Source organism: Homo sapiens, chromosome 22, assembly GCF_000001405.40.
Source record: "Homo sapiens chromosome 22, GRCh38.p14 Primary Assembly".
In the NCBI taxonomy this organism is placed as follows: Eukaryota; Metazoa; Chordata; class Mammalia; order Primates; family Hominidae; genus Homo; species Homo sapiens.
Window position 1 is genome coordinate 39,941,889 of NC_000022.11, and position 14,720 is coordinate 39,956,608.

General features: G+C 45.6%; 1 protein-coding gene across 9 annotated transcripts in view, besides 3 other annotated features; it reads left to right on the forward strand.

Annotated features, from left to right (window-relative positions):
* The window catches only part of GRAP2 (GRB2 related adaptor protein 2), a 79,902-nt gene that overhangs the window by 48,069 nt on the left and 17,113 nt on the right, over positions 1 to 14,720 (forward strand). For 5 of the 9 annotated variants that reach the window (XR_007067995.1, XR_007067996.1, XM_047441607.1 and 2 more), the window contains exons 2-3: positions 5,205 to 5,296; positions 13,931 to 14,022. The exons of 2 other annotated variants lie outside the window; for them this stretch is intronic. Coding sequence is in view for 4 of the 7 variants with exons in the window: in XM_047441607.1 (XP_047297563.1) it covers positions 5,219 to 5,296; positions 13,931 to 14,022 (170 nt within the window). In the remaining 3 variants the exon portion in view is untranslated. Of the gene's footprint in view, positions 1 to 4,928; positions 5,297 to 13,930; positions 14,023 to 14,720 lie in introns of those variants that run through there. 2 more of the 9 variants (NM_001291825.1, NM_001291826.2) reach the window with 2 other exon arrangements.
* Positions 8,759 to 8,998: an enhancer, noted in NCBI's record as "active region_19076". NCBI's record gives its function as "activates an Ori minimal core promoter by ATAC-STARR-seq in GM12878 lymphoblastoid cells {active_cell/tissue: GM12878}" and the evidence as "EXISTENCE:reporter gene assay evidence [ECO:0000049][PMID:35858748]".
* Positions 9,763 to 9,932: an enhancer, noted in NCBI's record as "active region_19077". NCBI's record gives its function as "activates an Ori minimal core promoter by ATAC-STARR-seq in GM12878 lymphoblastoid cells {active_cell/tissue: GM12878}" and the evidence as "EXISTENCE:reporter gene assay evidence [ECO:0000049][PMID:35858748]".
* Positions 10,033 to 10,092: a silencer, noted in NCBI's record as "silent region_13764". NCBI's record gives its function as "represses an Ori minimal core promoter by ATAC-STARR-seq in GM12878 lymphoblastoid cells {active_cell/tissue: GM12878}" and the evidence as "EXISTENCE:reporter gene assay evidence [ECO:0000049][PMID:35858748]".

A 14,720-nucleotide genomic window follows, 5' to 3' on the forward strand; every position in this document is an offset into this window, starting at 1 on the left:
TTAAGTGCTTGAGGAGTTCAGAGGAGGGGAAACAAATGTTTATTTGGCCCACAGTGTGCAGAGCTGGAGGGGATAGGCAGGTGTGCTCTGTTTTAAGACTCAATGCATGAAAACCCTGACTTTAAAACAGATAAATTAAAAGGTAGTTATTTGCATAACAAATTTTCCTTTCATTTTATAAAGCGATTCACCACAGGGTTCCTTTATAGAGTGAGCCTCCATAATACATGCTAATATGATTCCATTTACAAATACTCTATTCATTATAACTTTTCAAGAATATACCTATTGTGTACAGTGAGGCTTAACTGTAATCATTTTTCCTGGCAGTATAAGGTTTCCTACTTCTGAAAAGTGATTAAGCTGACCTTGTCAATTCGACTGGGGGAGGCGGCACTCTCCTCTACTGTCTCCGAGAGGGGCTTTACCTGTCGAACAACAAGGCTGTGGATTCTGTCTCTGCATTGTGTGATGTTGAGTAGCTGGTATAATTTTACATTTTCACTAAGCTCCTCTCAGTAGTAGCAGCAGCCAAAGTCCTAAAGTGTAAACTACTCTCACTATTCTCTTACTTCATTTCGTATACAAGATACACTAATAAAAATTATTTGTTGGCTGGACCACGGTGGCTCATGCCTCTAATCCCAGAACTCCAGGAAGCTGAGGCAGGTGGATCACTTGAGCCCAGGAGTTCGAGACCAGCCTGGGCAACATAGTGAGACCCCGATCTCTACCAAAAAAAAAAAAAAAAATTAGCCGGATGTGATGACACACATCTGTGGTCCCAGCTACTCAGGAGGCTGAAGTGGGAGAATCCTGTGAGCTAAAGAGTTCAAAGCGGCAGTGAGCTATGATCACACCACTGCACATCAGCCTGGTCAACAGAGGAAAACTTTGTCTCTAAATTAATGAACTAATTAATTAATTTTGTTGCTGATGTCCTGACAAATATGTGACAAGCAATTCTTGTAAAAAGCAATGTTTCCCTCTCTTTTTAAAAAATTTCAAGACATTATCTTATCTGAATTACAACATAAACTGGGGCAAGTATTCAGATTAGAGCTCTCCCCAGCAAAATAGGAAGTGATAGCAATTTAGGACCTGTCTCCTTCTCTCACTGGGTCCTGAGCCTGAATCTTCACATAGCTTTGTGGTGTTATGCAATTGCCCTTTGTAAGAGATACATAAAATGGAAACCTTAGCTATTCATAGCCAACTTAGGAGGAGCTGAATTTGATCAAGAAGTTTCTTGCCGGGTGCCATTTTGATGGTAACTACGTGTTTCTGAACAAATCCACTTATAATCTGGGTTTCCAATGGAGGTTATTTTAAAGAGCTGTAGCATGGCTTTTGTTTTCATCCTCTGTGGTGGCTATATTTTAGAAGTAGACAAGCATTCCTGGTATATAGCCTGAATATTTTTTAAGATTTTTTTGGTAGTAAAAGAAGCTCACATGGAAAGGCAAGGGTAGAAAAAATCATGTTCAGGGCAGTCCTGTGTGGCATTACCCTCTGGTGAAGCAGATCCACACTGCATGCTGCTAATGGCTATTGCGTGACAGCTCTTAAAGGGGTAAGCGAGAGAGGTGCAGAGGGCTGGTGAGAAGCAGAGCTAGCACTGAGGCCCTACAAATGGCATCACCATCTATCAGGTTGGCGGGGTGGGGGTTGGGGGCTGCTGCTGGAGGTGGTTTGGCTGCCCCTAGAGGCTGCAGCGTCTCACACTGTATGGGCAGGTAGCATTTCAGCCATTTCTAAAGCCCATCACTGGCAGGGAAAGCACATTTAATCCGTCTGTGAGGTTCTCTAAAAAGGGGCCTCTCTTTTCTTTCTTTTTTTTTTTTTTTTTTAAGATGGAGTCTCACTCTGTCGCTAGACTGGAGTGCAGTGGTGCAATCTCGGCTCACTGCAACCTCCACCTCCCGGGTTCAAGTGATTCTCCTGCCTCAGCCTCCCAAGTAGCTGGGACTACAGGCACACACCACCATGCCCAGCTAATTTCTGTATTTTTAGTAGAGATGGGGTTTTCACCATGTTGGCCAGGATGGTCTCCATCTCTTGACCTCATGATCCGCCCGCCTCCTGGGATTACAGGCGTGAGCCACTGTGCCTGGCCGAGGGGTCTCTCTTTTCAGAAGTCAGAAGCGCTGAAATTGAAAACAGCAGCAAGAAGGCTTCATTGCATTCTTGAATTCAGGCTGTTGCACTCCGCCCCCCACAACTCTGTCTAAATTGTTGCTACCCAGTTTATATCTGCATCATATTTTTTGTTGTTGTTTCTCCAATGCAGTATGTAGTGGTGGCAGGTACAGATCATAAAACAAATGGATAATCAGATTCCTTTTTCCCTGGTGGTAATTTTTAAACTTTTCAAAATTAATGCTAATGGATATAGAGGAATGGGATATACATTTCCATGCATTTTTATGACCAAACAGAAAACCGACCCCTGAGGGTGACATATTTACTATTCTCTACTACTAGGGGTGCTTCAAGGGAAGAGTTTTTGAAGCCCTGTGGTTTAAACAAAAAGAGAACATACCCCACCCCACCCTGAACAAACAGCAGCTGGGCAGATTTCATCTCACAAATGGAAATGGGAGCAAACAAATTTTTTCAAAGCGATTTTATAAAGAGTGGGCCTGTTTAGTTGGGTTTTTTGAGCCAGGATTAATATTACAAGCTGGGGAGCTCTGTGACATGGCTGTGTCGTTGGCTTTGCCATACCGCCTACCTCCTGGGGGAAGGCAGAGGAAAGTGCTGCTATTCAGAAGCAATTTTACTTCTGCCTCGGCCTTCTCACTTCTCACTGAAGTGATTTACAGCCAGCCTGGACCCAGTGCCCAAGCCTGAGCTGAGTTACATGTCATGTTGGAAAGATCTTCCCCAAATCAAGGTCTTATCTAGAGCTTGCCTGGGATATTTTTTCATTTCTAATTTATGTAACTTTCTAATATGTTTAGCATTTGCCCTTCCCTTGTCTCCATCCTGCTTATTAAGGTGAATTTGCATACAAATGGGACCTTGGTCTTCAGGACCATTCACCTGACACTTGATCCCACGAGGCGACCACTGTCTACTGTTGATACCATGAGGATGACCCACAGAAGTCATGTCTCTCTGCAAACTAGAGGCAAGGCCTTAATTAGAAGAAGCCTTGTGTGTTAAAATGATGGGGTGAATCAAATCAGCAAAGGCATTTAGCATTAACTTAGGAGGGCAGAATACTCCTTCCTGTTGAGTGGGTCGTCCTAGGTCACAACAATTTTAATTTGCCTTCGATAGATGGATCTTGAAGAAAGTGTACAAAAAGTATATTTGTGATGGTGTTGTTTGGGAGTACGTTTTGACTCAAAGAGTTAACTGTGACATTTTACTTTGGCTCCTGGTCTATTTTTTGCTTAACATCTACCTTTGAATGGGTAATAGTCATCTCTATAAATTACCTTCGAAAGATTGAACAATTGTGGAGAATCAGAGAAATGAGCCCCTTGCTATCACCCTGTTGCAGTCGGCTTTAATCCTCTGATCTCCTGGCGTTTCACCCTCTCACTGGCAGCCACCTTCCTTATTTACCCAAATCTTGTTAACTTGGGTAGGAATTCCCACTGAGAGGACAAATGTGGTCCCAGTTGACTGGTCGCTGAAAGTCTATTAGGTTGGAGAGTATTTATTTTCTACCCTAAAGGGTTTGAAACTTAGGGAAATTTTGATCAACAAGAAAATAACAGCTTTCAAGATTGTCCTGACAGTTAAGCTGTCTTAGCAGAGAATCACAGGATTTGATAGTCATGGAGATTAGTTCTCAAATTTCAATGAGAAAAGTTCATAGGAGATGGAGTGAGGAAAGAAAACTTGTGCTGATTTTGGTCAGGCTACCTTTGCTGGGGAAAAATTCATTCCATAAAATTATTTTAAAACGTAAATACTATTTAGCTTTATCTGGTGTAATACTTTGCATCTATAATTTTTTTGTTTTGTTTTGTTTTTGAGACAGAGTCTTGCTCTGTCACCCAGGCTGGAGTACAGTGGCATGATCTTGGCTCACTGCAACCTCTGCCTCCCAGGTTCAAGCGATTATCCTGCCTCAGCCTCCCAAGTAGCTGGGATTACAGGCACGTGCCACGGCACCCAGCTAATTTTTGTATTTTTAGTAGAGACAGGGTTTTGCCATGTTGGCCAGGATGGTCTTGAACTCCTGACCTCAGGTGATCTGCCCGCCTCGACCTCCCAAAGTGCTGGGATTACAGGCATGAGCCACAGCGCCCGGCCTGCATCTATAATTTGATTTAACCTTGCAACTTTATTAATTGAATATTATGATCACCATTTTATAGATGAGGAAATGGAGACTCCAAGGGTTTAATTACTTGCCCAAGAGTCTACAGCTATCTACCAACAAAACTGGGATTGGAGCCAGCTGTCTTACCATTACATCCCCGCTGCCTCCTAAAGCACAGCTCTAGTTCATACTAAATGTATTACATAGGCCGACTCATTTATCTTTACATGGGTCTCATGCATTACAAGAAGGGGGCCACTATTTTAACTCAATTCAAAAATGTTAAAATCAAAATTCCCAAAATGTACTTGGTTTATAATATATCATAAAATAAGTAATCTGACCAATTGAGCCTCCCAACTCGAAGACCAAGAACTTCTTTCTACTCCCAAACCATGCAGAAGGAAGCTGAGTTCCCCACTGGCCAATGCTGTCTAATTCTCTTAAATGATTCAGATGTAAAAGAGGAAATGGCATCCGTCTAATTAACACTGCCTGGTTAAATATAGCTGCCAAGGGACAGCCTTGGGACAGTGTTTACAGAATAGTCTTTCCAGCCCCTCAGGCCTCAAGTTACAGATGATAGCAAGCCTTCCCTCCTTATCAGCTGCAAACAGAGATGCCCCCAAAAGTGGTGTCAGGCCAGGATGATGAAAGGAGAAGGGAAAGGCTGCGGATGGCCTTCATTTCCTGCTCCTGGCATCTGGGGATTCCGAGAATGATCCCAGGACCTAGATCCTATAGATTCCGGCAGCTCTTCCTGCAAACACAAGCCCTTGTTGTGTGCCTGAGCCTTGCTCTCCGGCCTGGAGACATCCATCTGCCCACTCTCCTAGGAACTGCTGATTACCAGGAAGCACCATCGGCTCTGCTGCCCTCCCCCTGGCAGAGAGGCACAATGACCACATTATTTCTCTTCCAGCTTCACGTTACAGCATGGAAGCTGTTGCCAAGTTTGATTTCACTGCTTCAGGTGAGGATGAACTGAGCTTTCACACTGGAGATGTTTTGAAGGTAGGTGACCTGGGGCCCCAGGGGAGCAGTAGGGAGTTTCAGTTACTCAGTAATCTGACAGTCCCTGCCTTTGTCTCTTAAGAACTGCATGTGGTTCCTTTTAAAAAGAGAAGTTCACCTTGATTCCCTTTGTGCACCCTTATACCAGACACCAACCAGGCCGGGTGATGGAAATACAGTCGGCATAAGCCACCATCCTTGTCCTGGGAGGTTCGTAGTCTGGAGAGGGGAACACATCCACCCAAAGGGCTGTTACAGATGTTCTTGGCTAAGTTCTCAGGGAGCACAGGTGAGGGAACAAGTGATTCCATCTTGAAAGATGGGGGTTGTAGGAGTGTGTGCAATGTGAACGTCAGGAATGCACTGAAGGTGACTTGGGCTTTTAGCTAAAGCTCAGAGATGTGCAAGCCCATGCTGAATGCAGGGAGCAGCGCCAGGCTCAGCAGAGCTGGAACTCAGGAGGAGAGGTTGTGGGTGGAGACAGCTTGGGAAAGGCAGCCACAGAGGACATGGCTCAACAAAGGCCATGCACACCTGGCCACTCAGGGGCTTTTTAAAGCTTGTCCTCATCCTGCACTTGAGTTGTAGTGGCCACTTGCTGAGCTGAAGTGGCCTTGGACTTCTCCCACATTCATGCACCATACTTTCAGACTCTGCATCTTAGCCCTTGGGTTTTTGTTTTGTTTTGTTTGTTTGCAAAAGAGCATAAGCCCTTCAAAAGGGCATTTGGGAGTGTGTGGAGCCAGACCCCCTCTGCCTGACCTCAGAGCACCCTCAGATAGCCTGATCCCTGGTCCTCAGATAGCCTGATCCCTGGTCCTCAGATAGCCTGATCCCTGGTCCTCAGCAGTCCCAATGAGCCTTCTCGGACGCCCAGCAACACTGAGGCCATTAGTGTCTCACCACCGAGAATTAGGTTTGTTATACAAAGAACCTTGTCAGCATGTGAGAGGGTGACATTGAAAGTGTCTGAGGAGCACAAAACACCACAGAATGGCTTCTTTTGGAATATGAACATGCCCATTAGGTAGCCTTCTAACTGCTCTCAACTTTCAAGATCTAGTAACATAGTGGCAAAGCATAGGCCTTCACAAACTTAAAATATGAGTTGGGCCTCCTGACCCAGGAAAACCTGTCTGTCACTGCTTTGGGGTCTTACGAAGCTCCTGGAGGGACTTGCCAAGCAGCGAGAAGTTCCTGCCTTCTCTGTGGGGCACTGTGATCATGTGACTGTCATCCACTGGAGACCATCCTTGTACCAACTTCCACCCTCGTCTTCCATTACAAAGAGAACCTGGTATCTTAAGTTTTCTCTATTCCTCAGAAAAGGAAAAAGGAAAGAAAAAAAAAAAAAACTTTGCTCAACTCTGCTTCCCAATCCAGCTCCTGATTTCTTTCCTCCCCTTTGTTGCTAATACTGGGAAGAATTCTCTACACTGGGCGTGCTTCACTTCCTCACTTCCCACTCATTCCACAACTCTCTGGAATCTGCCTTTTACCCTCCCTGCAACATTCTCTTGAAGTTCACCAGTGATCTCCTTAATGTGTAGTATAATGACCCTATGGAAATGTCTGTGGGATTGACACTGCTAACTGGCCCTCTCCTGGAAGCCCCTTTCTCCCTGGCTTTGGCAGCACCACCCTCTCCGGGTTCTTCTCCTCCCTTCCTGACCACTCCTACAGGTCTCATTTCCAAGCATTCTTTTTCCTCTCTTGATCCTGAAATATACACTTCCCTGAAGGTGCTGCCTTTGGCTTTCTGATTTTTCTTCTCACTCTGAGCCACCTCATCCACTTCTTCAGCTGCAACTATCACCTCTGTGCCAAAGACCCTCAAGTCTGTGGCTCGTGTTCTAGCTCTGGCCTTGCTCTTGAACTCCAGACCCAGACTTCCAATTGTCTGCTGGATGTCCCCACATGAACTCCAGCCCCTAACTCAGGATGCCGAGAATCACTCAAACCCCCATGCCCATCTCACCCCCATTTCCACCCAAGCCACTCTTCTTTCCATGTTCTAATTATTATCCTAGGTCAGTCACAAGCTAGAAGCCCCAATTATCATCAATGCCTCCTTTACCAAATCCTGGTGACCAGTAACCAACGTCTCCTGAGCTCCTGTTCAGGGCCAGGATCTAGCTAAGTGGTTTGCAGGCATGATTTCATCATCTCAGCAAACCTGTGAGGTAGGCATTCATTTCCCCTCCATTTCATAGATGAGAAACTGAGGCTAGGGATTAAATCACATGTCCACAGTCACACAGCTAGCATGTGACCAATCCAGGACCTGGACAGAACTCTGTCTGACTCCTAAGCACTAAACTCTGCTCTGAATGTATTTTTTTCCTCATATCTCTCAAGCAAGTCTCTTCTTCACCAGAAAGGAGTGTGAGGCAGTAAAAAGGAGCATAGACTTTGAGTCAGATGGATCTGAGTTTGAATCCCAGCTTACTAACCATGGAGACTGGGGCCCAGTCATCTGCCCCCTTTGAGCTTTAGTGTCTTCCTCAGCAAGTGGAGGTAGTATCCATCTTGCCGGGTTGTGGAGAGGATTCGAGGTGATGACCCTGTCCCAACGTAGACGCCCAATAAATGGTGGCCCGCATTATCGGGATCATCCATCCCCGCTGCTTCTGACTGCTCAGATCATTGCCACAGCTCCTTGACTGACCTCATTACCTCTTGTCTTTTTCCTCCTTCACTCATTCTTCTTACTAGTCCCAGAGGGATCTTTCCAGACAAATCAGATCATATCATTTCCTTGCTCAAAAGCATTCAGGGGTTTCCAATTACCAATTGATTGAGACTGAAAACATCTGGCCCCAAACCACTGTCCAGTGTCATTATGCACATGTACACATGTGTGCACACACCCACACAGAGACATCTTTGTAGATGTAACGCCCCCAGGTTGCACTGCAATGTATACACCGCCCTTTCTCAGCCTCTCCCCTATATACTCTGATTGCCCCTCTCCTACACACACATACTTGACCTCCTCTACCATGGAAACCTCGCTGGTCCTCTCCACTCCCTACCATCCCAGGGAAACAAATCACTCCCTCTTCAGCTCCTCCCCAACATTTCACATAAACTTCACTCATTTCCAGGCACTTATGACTTTGCCTCACATGGCAGCTATTTATAGGCAGGCCATGACCCTGTGGTCTCATGCACCCTCTATTTCTACCTCTCATTGCTGCCTTTGCCCCGTGGGATCCTAATTGCTCGTTTATGTGTTGTCTACTCCACTAGCAAAAGCTGTGCAAGGGCAGGGGCTGTTTCTGCCTCAATGTCTAGAAGAGCTGTGCCTAGAACTCCCTGACACTTGACGAATGAATGAACTTTCAATTCCTCTCCATTCCCTGAGAGCAATGTCATGCACGTGTGCACACAATGCCAGGTTCGTCTTTGTGTCTTCACAGCATCTAACACAAGTCATGGCCCAAAATAGATGCCCAGTACATATTTCTTGAATTGCTAAATTGCATTTCTTCCTGTTCATTTAGAATTCCATTGGAAAGCCAACCCCCTCCCTCTTTTCAAATTCTGTCCATTGCAGGTAAAGAGCAAAATGGGGAGGGCTTGTTGACTGAGCCCCACAGAATGTCTACAGGATGGTGATTGGTTCCCATGGCTGGGACTCCCCACATGTGATTGCAATGTCTGCCCCCCACCTTCCTCAATGGGTAACACACCCAGGATCCTCACAAATACTTTCAAAGCCAGCTCCTGACTACCCCAGCAATTCGCTTCTGGGATTCTCTGACTTGTTTGGCCTTTTGTGCTAAAGACTAAACAGAGGTTTTCATTAGAAAGGTACAAAAAAGTCTGAGCAGCCACCCACCCTCAACAGACCATCAGTTTCCTGGGGCAGAGGCCCCAGCTTATTTATCTCCATATTTCATGCACCTAAGTGCAATCAGCAGGTGCTCACTAGATGGTGATCTACACGGCATGTAGATCAAGATGGTGGACAGGAAAACGCTGCCAAATGACTTGATCCTGCTTCTCCTATGACGGAAACATTTGGAAACTCAGGAATCAGATTTTTTTCCTATTCATGCCACAAACCACCATACCTGCAGCTACACACAGCACCAGCCTCACATTTGAATTTGCCATTAAATTTGCCAGTAGCTTTGAAAAATATCTCTTGACCCAGTCCATTTCTGTCTCCTTCTGTAATGCAGCTAATGCGACCTCATTTCTTCCTGCTAAAATAGCAACCTAAAAGCACTAAGAGTTAATTCCACATAATTCATTTCTTCAATACTTCAGATTTTTGCTATGTTTCTAAAAGCTACAATTTCATCCAATTTAAAAATTCTTCCAGCCGTAATTTGGCCCTTCTCTTCCCACGTCTAACTTATTCACAGGCCATGTAACCCAAAAAATCATCTCTTAGGGAACATTATAAGAATTAAGAAACAGTCAAGAGTAAAACTTCAAGTGTTCAGGCTGAACGCCTTGCTCAGGTTTACACGATGGGTACACGAGATAGGGGGAACCGAACAGATGGAGAGATGAGAAGAACAGGAAGTGTGGGGCCCTGGGCCCACAACGGCAGGAGGAAACCATCTCCCCTCCCCTCAAATACTTTTCTTTGCAGAAAATGAGAATTTTTTTTAAAAAAAAACCTCACCTTCTATACATGGTAAAGAGCCTGCAAATTCACCTCTCTAGAAACACAGTGTTAGGCAGACCAAGCACCAGGTGGCGGAGAGAAATGGCTGGCATTGTGGGATAATCTTTCAGTTTCTAGAGGAGGTCTGAGGCATGATAACTAAAATTACAGAGCTGCTTTCAGGTCAGAAAATGAAGTACAAAGTGTGTGGTTTTTTTTTTTTTTTTTTTCTTTTTGAGACAGAGTCTTGCTCTGTTGCCCAGGCTGGAGTGCAATGGCGCAATCTCGGCTCACTGCAACCTCCGCCTCCTGGGTTCAAGCAATTCTCGTGGCTCAGCCTCCCAAGTAGCTGAGATTACAGGCATGCACCACCATGCCTGGCTAATTTTTGTCTTTATGGTAGAGATCAGGTTTTGCCATGTTGGCCAGGCTGGTCTCAAACTCCTGACCTTAGGTGATCCACCCGCCTCAGCCTCCCAAAGTGCTGGGATTATAAGCGTGAGCCATGGCACCCGGCCTCAACGTGTGGTTCTTACGGTGACAAGGTAGTTTCCAAATGGCCTCTTTTACCCCTTTCTGTGTGACATTTGCTACCCTGGCCAAACACCACATTCCCATGTGACGGGAGAAAGGAATTCCAATGCCATGAATTCAGAAGCGATGGATGGAGTGCAGTGTGCTCTTGTGTTTTTACGTGGCTACGAGGCGCTGCTGCTGGGTTTCCTAGTTCTTTTGACCTAGATTTTCTGCTTCCTCCCTTGCCCCCTCAGCACACACATACCCACATGTCCTTAGTGACACCAGCAGTCACATTTGATGTTAGAAACTATAAAGTTTTCTGTTCTCAGCAATCTCAAACTCAAATATGGGACACACTTTTATTCCTTCAGAATAAATGACTAAATTCAAAACATACACACATAATGCTTTAAAGAACGTATAAACCCTTCCATGTCCTATTCAGAGCTGGAGGCCTCCCTCATAAGAATACCACATTTGATGGAATTGTATTTTTTGAAAAGAGTCTACACTTTCTGAAGGACTTTCAGGTACCAGGGCTCATTTGATCCTCACATCAGCTCTGTGAGGTGCTAGGTGGCTATTATTATCTCCATTTTTCAAATGGCTGATTGACTTGGCCAAGATCACATATCTAGTGATGGAGCCAAGCTAGAAACCAGGTCTTCTCGTTCCCAACTCACAACACTGTCCCCTTCCTTCCACCTTGGAGTGATGTTAGAAATAGGTCATCATCTCCACTCAAGCACTTAGTTCTTTCCATTATCTTCCCATCTTCTTTTCTGGGAGAAAGAAGCCCAAGGGCCCTGTGACTTCAACTCCACCCACTTTCTGATGACTCTGAAACCCCAAGCCCCAACCTTAGCCTCTCTCCTGGGTCCAGACTGACATATCCAGCTGCTCCCTGAGCTTTTCTTCTTAGTTGAAGAATTCAACTCACAGTCACCCGCATGCAATCTGAAGCCCATGAGCCCTTTCTCAGCCCTGCCTCCTCTCATGTATCTTCTATTTCTGTAAAGCCGTCACCACCTACTCAGTCTCCCAAGCCAGAAATCCAGTGGCATCCCAGAGTCCTCCTCTCCCTTAGCTTCCAAGATTGGTCAAGAAATCCTGCCTGTTTGCTTCCTGAATTTCTCTAAAATATATCCTCACCTCCTCTTAGCCTAGGCCCTATCATCTCTTGACTGGAGGCCTGCGCTCATCTTCCTGCAGTTTTTCTGCCGACTTTAGCCTTGCAATCTATCTTCACATTCTGATCTCTGATACAGAGCTCTGTCGCTCTCTCGCTCTCTCTTAATTAGAGACAGAGTCTCTCTCTGTTGTCCAGGCTGTAGTACAGTGGTACAATCAGAGCTCACTACAGCCTTTAACTCCTGGGCTCACACCCTCCTCCCGCTTCAGCCTCCTGAGTAGCTGGGACTACAGGTGCGCTTCCACCACGCCTTGCTAAGTTTTATTTTTATTTTCATAGAGACAAGGTCTCGCTTTGTTGCCCAGGCTGGTCTCAAACTCCTGGGCTCAAGCGATCGTCCACTTGGGCCTCCCAAAGTGCTGGGATTACAGGCATGAGCCATCGCACCCAGCCAGAGCTCTTTCTGAACTCTAATTCTTACTGTTACTTCCCTGCTCAAAATCCTTTAAGGGCTCCCCCTACATTTCAAGATATTCACAGTCTACATTCCAGCCACCTGGAGGCATTTCATTCCCAGAACACACCACACCTCCTCAGAGCTGAAGGAGGAAGTCCATTGCCATCTGACTTGGCCTCAGTAACTCCTTTCGTTGCCAAGGCAAGTGGTCTCTCCTCTACATATGGATGCCTTTTCTATCTATTTCTGCTTTCTTCTTTATCATCACACTTCTATCAGTTAAGATATTTTCAGGAGCAAGAAACATAAACTAAAAATGGCTTAAACAATAACAAAGACTTGTAATTTCTCAAAGTCCAGAAGTAGGAAGGCTCCTGGGTATCATCTAATTCAGCGGTTCAGTGACATTATCAGAGTTCTTTCCATCTTTTGCTCTGCTATCCTTATTTAGAATTATTGTTCTAGTCTATATCAAAGACTTAAAAAAAATTTTTTTTTTGAGAGAGGCTTGCTCTGTTGCCCAGGCTGGAGTCCAGTGGCAAGATCACGGTTCACTGCAACCTTGCCTCCTGGGTTCAAGCAATTCTCCTGCCTCAGCCTCCCGAGTAGCTGGGATTACAGGCATGTGCCACCAGGCCCGGCTCCTTTTTGTATTTTTAGTAGAGATGGCATTTCACCATGATGGACAGGCTGGTCTCGAACTCCTGGCCTCAAGTGATCTATGTGCCTTGGCCTCTCAAAGTGCTGGGATTACAGGCGCGAGCCACCACACCTGGCCTCAGACTTTCAAAACATTCTCAGTGGCGGTGTCAAATATTTTGTCTTTTAATGGTGAATCTCATTTTTTGAGAAACCAGAAGCCACATACAGTCAAGTCTGGTGAGTAATATGAGTAACTGAGGTAGACAATAACATTTGGGGTCACAGTCAAAGTCAGGCCACAGAGTAACAAGACAGAACTTTTGGTTTTGTTTGGGATCTGGCTTTAAAAGCAAGTTTAGAAAAGGCATCCCAAGTATCTTGGGTTCCAGCCAAATATCTGTGAAATACACAGCATGTGAACACAAAGAGTTACTGTTTCCAAAGCTGGCCCCACTGGGATGTTTAAGTTTTAATCTGCCTGTTTAAAAAACAATAACAAATTGAATTTTTGAAAAGTTTCCTGGGCCTGGTGGCTCACGCCTGTAATCCCAGCACTTTGGGAGGCCAAGGCAGGTGGATCACTAGGTCAAAGGATCAAGACAGTCCCGGCCAATATGGTAAAACCCCGTCTCTCCTAAAAATATGAAAAATTAGCCAGGTGTAGTGGCGCATGCCTGTAATCCCAGCTACTCAGGAGGCTGAGGCAGGGGGATCGCTTGAACCCAGGAGGTGGAGGTTGCAGTGAGCTGAGATCCCGCCACTGCACTCCAGCCTGGCGACAGAGCAAGACTCTGTCTCAAAAAAACGAAAAACAACAACAAAAAAAAGAGAAAAGTTTCCTGGTTACCTGGAAGAGAAAAAAAAAAATACACCGTGGAGTAACCATTCTTCCTTCTCACCATCTGCTGAGATGAGGAACTTAAGGTGCTAACTGGGACAAATGAATTTCCAAAATAGAAAAAGGGATTCAGGGAAGTCCTTGAGTGCTGAATTTGGGAGGCCAAGCCACAGTGGGGTGACATGAGTGGACGGCACAAGTGGACAGAAATAACCTGGGGTCAGGAGAAGCTGACTCCAAAGGTAAACCCACGGCTCCTCCACAGGCCTGGGGTAAATCCTAGAACAGCTGTTGAGTTCTTTCAACTTATTAACATATTTTCCTCTAAGTCCAAAAGGGCCTTCTTTGCCTGGCAGCCCCTTTCTCTTGTTTTTTTGGTGTCCTCCCTCCAATGTCTTTGTCTTTCCTTTTCTTCCATGTAGATTTTAAGTAACCAAGAGGAGTGGTTTAAGGCGGAGCTTGGGAGCCAGGAAGGATATGTGCCCAAGAATTTCATAGACATCCAGTTTCCCAAGTAAGTATCTGCAGCCTGCTGAGATGGGCCTAGCCACACACACTCCTCTTACATTTCCAGCAGTCACTACAGTTATCCATGGGAACCCAAGACATTGTCAAAAATGGCTGCCTCTGGAGCTCTCTCCGGAGAGCCTCCAGAGCATGCAGCTGAAGGCCAGGGCAGGAGGGAGACTTTGCATTTCATTTCATTCCCTTTTGATGTTTACACCATGTGCATGTATTGCTATTTTAAGTTGTTCTTAACTTTTTTTTTTTTTTTTTGGGAGTTGGGGTCTCCCTCTGTCACCCAGGCTGGAGTGCGGTGACTCCATCACCACTCACTGCAGCCTAAAACTCCTGGGCTCAAGCCATCCTCTCACCTCAGCCTCCCAAGTAGCTGGGATTACAGGCACATGCCACCACGCCAGGCTAGTTTTTGTATTTTTAGTAGAGACAGGGTTTTACCATGTTGGCCAGGCTGGTCCCAAACTCCTGACCTCAAGTGATCTGCCGCCTCAGCCTCCCAAAGTGCTGGGATTACAGGCGTGAACCACCATGCCTGGCCTATTTTAAGTTTTGGGTTTTTTTGGGTTTTTTTATTCATGTGTTTATTTGTTTTGAGACAGAACCTTGCTCTGTTGCCCAGGCTGGAGTGCAGTGGCATGATCTCGGCTCATTGCAATTCTCCTGCCTCAGCCTCCCTAGTAGCTGGGATTA